This window comes from Homo sapiens, chromosome 18 (genome assembly GCF_000001405.40).
Source record: "Homo sapiens chromosome 18, GRCh38.p14 Primary Assembly".
Classification (NCBI taxonomy): domain Eukaryota; kingdom Metazoa; phylum Chordata; class Mammalia; order Primates; family Hominidae; genus Homo; species Homo sapiens.
Window position 1 is genome coordinate 36,062,562 of NC_000018.10, and position 6,000 is coordinate 36,068,561.

Consider the following 6,000-nt stretch of genomic DNA (forward strand, 5'->3'; position numbering starts at 1 on the left):
AATTCATACAATATTCTATTCGGCCATAGAAAAGACTGAAGGACAGTAAGTGGTCTTTTGCAACTGGCTTCTTTTAATTAACATGTTTTCCAGGCTCATCCATGTTATAGCATGGATGGAAAACACACAAAAGACCACATACTATATAATTCTATTCATATGAAATGGTAAAAATAGTCCAATCTATAGAGGCAAAGTAAATTAGCAGTTGCCTAGGGTTGGGAGAGATGGGGGACTGGGGACAACAGCTAAATGGCATGGAGTTTCTTTCTGGGTAATAAAAATGTTCTAAAACTGGTGGTAGCTTTACAATTCTATAAACATATCAAAAACCACTGAATAGTATACTTTGAATGGATAAAAGGTGTGGTATGTGAATTACATCTTAATAAAGAAGTAACAAAATGGTCACTTACATTTTTGGTTACACTTTACTGCATTTATCAGGAAAATTGTATGCCATTTTGGTCTTCACAAAGGCCTTGAAGTTTATCCCTCCAAACAGAAACTCTTTCTTTAAAGGAGACAAAGATAAGGAAGGTAGGAAAAGAAGGGAAACCTTCATAACTGAATGGCTACCATTATCTAACATATATAATTTTACTTATTCATTCTTATATTTTTTTGTTTGTTTGTTTTCTGAGACAGGGCCTTGCTCTGTCGCCCAGGTTGGAGTGCAGTGGCGCACTTGGCTCACTGCAGCCTAAACCTCTTGGGCTCAAGTGACCCCCCAACCTCAGCCTCCTTAGGCCTGCGCCATCATGCCCAGCTAATTTTGGTATTTTCTGTAGAGACAGGGTTTTGCCATGTTGACCACGCTGGTCTCGAACACCTGAGCTCTGGCAATCCACTTCCCTCAGCCTCCTAAAGTGCTGGGATTACAGGCATGAGCCACAGTACCCAGCTCATTCTTTTATTTTAAACAGTAGCTTCTCCCACTCTCACATTTTTGTCTTTACACACTTTGAGAAACTAAAGAATGCCTAGCTTAACACAAAATGTTCAACTAATTTTCTTTAGTTTGTTGTAATATACTTTCAAGATTGATCGATTCCTTTCATAATTATTCTGCAGAAATAATGTGATTCAAGATATGGTAAAATAACTAAAAGAATGTCTGGTACTCAGTAACTGATTGCCATTATCATTAAACTACAGGAGATGAGAATCCTGAAGTTGATGAGCAAAACTGCAGGAAAGGGGAAGGACACAAAGGCTACACCCTGCAAAAGCAGTCATCTGTCAAGAAAAGGAAACCCTTGGCAGAGTAGCCCAGGCTAATATGAGGATTAAAGCGGCAGCGGTATGTTCATCAGCATCACCGTTACTATCAACACTATCATCACTACCACCCTCCTCCTAAAGCATCTTTTTATATGCTTTAACGTTTTCCACTTATGAAACACTTAAACATATGGAAACATCACAAACCTTGCTAAAAGCACATCTTACAATTTTACCACATTTGCACCATTTTCTTAAATACATTAAATATTAGATAGCTTTCTCCTATTGAGAGGTGACAACGTCCTAGCAGCCCTTGCTCGCTCTCGGCGCCTCCTCGGCCTCGGCGTCTGCTCTGGCCGTGCTCAAGGAGCCCTTCAGCCCGCTGCTGCACTGTGGGAGCCCCTCTCTGCGGCTGGCAGAGGCCGGAGCCGGCTCCATCTGCTCTCAGGGAGGTGTAGAGAGAGAGGCGCCGGCAGGAGCCTGGGCTACGCGCGGTTCCGGGTGGGTGCCTGCTGGGCTTGATGGGGGACGAGCTCCCTCTGGGCTGCTAGAGTGCCCAAGCTAGGTGCCGCAAAGTCCCGCGGCGAGTGCCATTGAGAGGTGAAGCCAGCTGGGCTTCTGGGTCAGGTGGGGACTTGGAAAACTTTTCTGTCTAGCTAAAGGATTGTAAACGCACCAATCACCACTCTGTGTCTAGCTCAAGGTTTGTAAACGCACCAATCAGTGCTCTGTGCCTAGCTAGAGGTTTGTAAACACACCAATCAGCACTCTGTGTCTAGCTAAAAGTTTGTAAATGCAACAATCAGTGCTGTGTGTCTCGCTAAAGGATCATAAAACGCACCAATCAGCACTCTGTCAAAACGGACCAATCAGCTCTCTGTAAAATGGACCAATCAGCAGGACGTGGCTGGGGCCAGATAAGAGAATAAAAGCAGGCCACCCAAACCAGCAGCAACAACCCGCTTGCGTCCACTTCCCTGCTGTTGAAGATTTGTTCTTTCACTCTTCACAATAAATCTTGCTGCTGCTCACTCTTTGGGTCCCTGCCGCCTTTATGAGCTGTAACACTCACCGCGAAGGTCTGCAGCTTCACTCCTGAAGCCAGCGAGACCACGAATCCACCGAGAGGGACCAACAACTCCGGATGGAAGGAACAACTCCAGACGCACTGCCTTTAAGAGCTGTAACACTCACAGTGAAGGTCTGCAGCTTCACTCCTGAAGCCAGCGAGACCACAAACCCATCAGAAGAAAGAAACTCCAGACATGTCTGAACATCAGAATGAACAAACTCCGGACACACCATCTTTAAGAACTATAACACCGCGAGGGTCCACAGCTTCATTCTTGAAGTCAGCGAGACCAAGAACCCACCAATTCTGGACACACTATGACAACCACTATCTTGGAATATGGTGTTAATCACTACTATGCATATTTTAATATAGGTATCTATAAACAAAAGAAGTACTGTTTTGCATGTTTTTAGACTTTACCCCCATAGCATTATTCGTCTGTACCTTGTTTTCTTAGCTCAAGATTTTGTTTGTTTTTCAATTCAGTCACGTTGTTTCATGCAGCTCTAGTCCATTCGTGAGAACTTTTCGATAGTATTACATTTTATTAATATCACAATTTATTTGTCCATTCTCAAACTAATGGAATGGTTTTTTTGTTTTCTTATTTTTTGTAAAGAAAAGGTTTCACTATGTTGCACAGGCAGGGTCTCACTTGTTTTCAATTTTGTTATTATGAAGCTGCAATAAACAATTCTTGAGAACAATACTTATTTCTAGAATATATTCCTAGAAAGAAAACTGCTAGGTCAAAGGATATATTTAATATATACCTCCAACTTCATCAACTAAGTTGATCTACAAAATAGTTACATATTTTTACATTCCCACCAAGTGGTATAAGAGTTCCTGTTTCTCTGCAACAATTATCCATATTGTCATATTATTTTGCCAAATTGATGAACATAAAGTGGTACCTCACTGGCTTACTTTTTCCTGATTTGTAAGATTAAGTATCATTTATTGACCTTTCAGGTTTCCTCACGTGAAATGCCTATAAACAGTACTGCCATTTTTTTTTTTTACTGATTTGTAATAGTTATTAAGAGAGTCTGGGTATCAACCCTATACTGATTACATGTGTTTCTAAATGCTCTCTGCAAAAACAAAAAACAAGATAAACCTGTTACCGATTCTGAAATCTAGTAAAATGTAAAAGCAAAGCTAATTCCTGACTTTTCAAAGTTCACAGCTACTTTCCAGACCTTTATATCAGTGTTTCTGAAACCTTTCCGTCCACTCACAGAAGATGAATTCCTCATTCAGGGCCAATACACACATACTTACACATAAACTGAAAAACAAGGCTGTAAATCAATTTCTTCTCAAGGATGGGTGACGTTTTCATAACCACAAACAATATACAAGGACAGATTGTCTCCATTATATACAGCCAACATTTTGGCTCACATTTTGGCTGTTACGTACATACATCATATAGCTTTCACAAGGTTCAGTAAGCAAGCGTCTATTTTGATTAATAACGGTTAAAACCTTTAACACTTGATAAAAAACCATCATATCCATCAGGATGTTTGCAACAATAATGAAGAGTGTCCACTCTACCCAATGAATTAAGAATTAAAGTACAAGCTCAGACTAAGCAAATGAAATTTTTTATTTTCAGTCGCACTAGGATAATTTTTTACAAAGTTGCTCTGCATACATGAACTGATTCTGAATATTTTAGTGACAGACATCTCAAAAAAGTTTACTTCATTTACAGGAACACTATCAAATGTTTTGCAAAACAAAGACACTGCATTAGGGCATATAATCATAGAATAGGAAAGGACTTTAGGTGACTTACTCTAAATCTCTCCTTTTCAGGTAAGGCATCTGCAACGCAGAAGTTATAAGAAACTTGCCCAATTGAGACCCTCTAAAATCTACAAATTCAGAGTCTTTTCCACTGCATTACCCATCTTCTTATATTAGACTTCTAAAACTATTCCTCTATTAATTTCACAAGAATAAGTTGCTGCGTTACAGAAATGACGGAAGTAACTCCCAAACCCACACCAATCTTTTTCTTTCCACTCCCCTACCTTCTCCCTCCCTTATCCTCCATTATCATTCACAGAATGAAAAAAATACCTGACCACCTGAATTTCTGGCCCTAATTGGGTGTGGAGTCCCAACCCCCTGCTACTGTTTCCGTGTTAAGCTAACCGGAGTTTTCTTTTTTAATTATTCATTCCTTTATTCAATAAATATCTAAGCCCAGACTTTGCAGAAGCGTGGTGCACGCAGCTCCTCCAAGCCCGCAGACCACCGCGCGCTGGCATCCCGACGCCGGGAAGCCGGGGGCGCTGGAGAAACGGGGTTCCCGGGGGCGCCTGGAGGCCGGCCGGGTGGTGGGAAGCGGCCGACATAAGCGGTTGACTCACCTTTCCGCAGCTCCCGCTCCCACACGGTGACGATGGGACGCGAGTGTTTACGGTGGTGAATGAGCCACAGGGACAAGGTCTGCACGCTCTGCTGCGAGTTGCTCAACTCCGACAGCTTCTTCTCCAGCGCCGCCTCAGAGAAGGCTGACATCCCTCCGACACCACGTTCACGCCGTCCCACGCGGTGGGGCCGAGGGGAGGAGAGTTTCGCCGCCCTAGCTGCGGCCTCGCCCCCTCACCCCACCCTTCCCCACGCTCTCACCACGGCCGCCGCTTCATCCAAGACCGGCCGCAAACCAGCAAGATGGCGTCCGGCCGGCAGTGACGTCACAGGGACCCACGCCCCGCCCCTCCCGCTGCAAGCCCTGGGAAAACGCGCGGCCGAGAAGTGGAACCGCCAGGCGGAAGGGGCGGAGTCGAAACAAGTGCAGGGGAGGCGGACAGGGGCGTGATGCCTGGGTTACTCTCAGAGGCATGGTGGGAGTTTGCCAGGCCTGAACCCTCCTTAATGGAAACTCTGTCAAAGAAGCAGTGATTACAGATCTCTACATAGGCATGTAAACTGGTATAAATTGGGGCAGGCACTTTAAAGACTATTTGCATGACCAATTACGGTTAAAAATACACCTTCCTAAATAGAGTATAGGATGGTGACCAGAGGCTGGGAAGGGTAGTGGGGGAGGGCTAAATAGAAGGACTAATAGAAGGACTAAATATAAATAGGACCTAGTATTTGATAGCATGACAGGGGACTAGAGTCAGTAATAATTTAATTGTACATTTTAAAATAACTAAAAGGATAATTGGATTGTTTGTAACACAAAGGATAAATGCTTAAAGGGATGGATACCCAACTTTGCATAATGCGATTATTAGGCATTGCCATGCCTGTACCAAAATATCTTATGTACTCCATAAATATATACACCTACTATGTACCCACAAAAATGAAAAATGAATAAAAATTTAAAAATTATAAGAATACTCTTTCCTAGCAATTTCACTAATTGCTGTCAGTGCTGGAAAAAACACCAGCATGTTTGCACCAGGAAGCTTATTCTAGGTGTTCAGTCCAACACAGTAACAGTGAAAAATTGGAACATTCACTGTTGCAGTCTACACAGATACGTCTATATTCCATAATACATGCAGCAGTTTAAAATATGGATTAATCCAAGATATGGTGGATTTGGAAGGGTTTGAGTGGGTTTTTATGAGGTTCTTTTTGAGAGAGGGCCTCACTCTCACCCAGACTGGAGTTCAGTGCCATGATCACAGCTTACTGCAACCTCGAATTCCTGGGCTCAA

General features: G+C 42.8%; 1 protein-coding gene across 4 annotated transcripts in view, besides 4 other annotated features; it reads right to left on the reverse strand.

The window, feature by feature from the left end:
* RPRD1A (regulation of nuclear pre-mRNA domain containing 1A) overlaps positions 1-4,998 on the reverse strand; it is a 77,736-nt gene extending 72,738 nt beyond the window's left edge. For all 4 annotated transcript variants that reach the window (NM_018170.5, NM_001303412.2, NM_001303411.2 and 1 more), the window contains exon 1: positions 4,693-4,998. In NM_018170.5, coding sequence (NP_060640.2) covers positions 4,693-4,843 — 151 coding nt within the window. In that variant the 5' untranslated portion in view covers positions 4,844-4,998. The remainder of the gene's footprint in view (positions 1-4,692) is intronic.
* Positions 4,698-4,837: an enhancer, noted in NCBI's record as "active region_13232". NCBI's record gives its function as "activates an Ori minimal core promoter by ATAC-STARR-seq in GM12878 lymphoblastoid cells {active_cell/tissue: GM12878}" and the evidence as "EXISTENCE:reporter gene assay evidence [ECO:0000049][PMID:35858748]".
* Positions 4,698-5,236: a biological region, named in NCBI's record as "H3K27ac hESC enhancer GRCh37_chr18:33647245-33647760".
* Positions 4,721-5,236: an enhancer, noted in NCBI's record as "H3K27ac hESC enhancer chr18:33647245-33647760 (GRCh37/hg19 assembly coordinates)". NCBI's record gives its function as "activates a minimal SCP1, AML or CMV promoter by ChIP-STARR-seq in naive H9 embryonic stem cells {active_cell/tissue: H9 hESC(naive)}" and the evidence as "EXISTENCE:reporter gene assay evidence [ECO:0000049][PMID:30033119]".
* Positions 4,948-5,177: an enhancer, noted in NCBI's record as "active region_13233". NCBI's record gives its function as "activates an Ori minimal core promoter by ATAC-STARR-seq in GM12878 lymphoblastoid cells {active_cell/tissue: GM12878}" and the evidence as "EXISTENCE:reporter gene assay evidence [ECO:0000049][PMID:35858748]".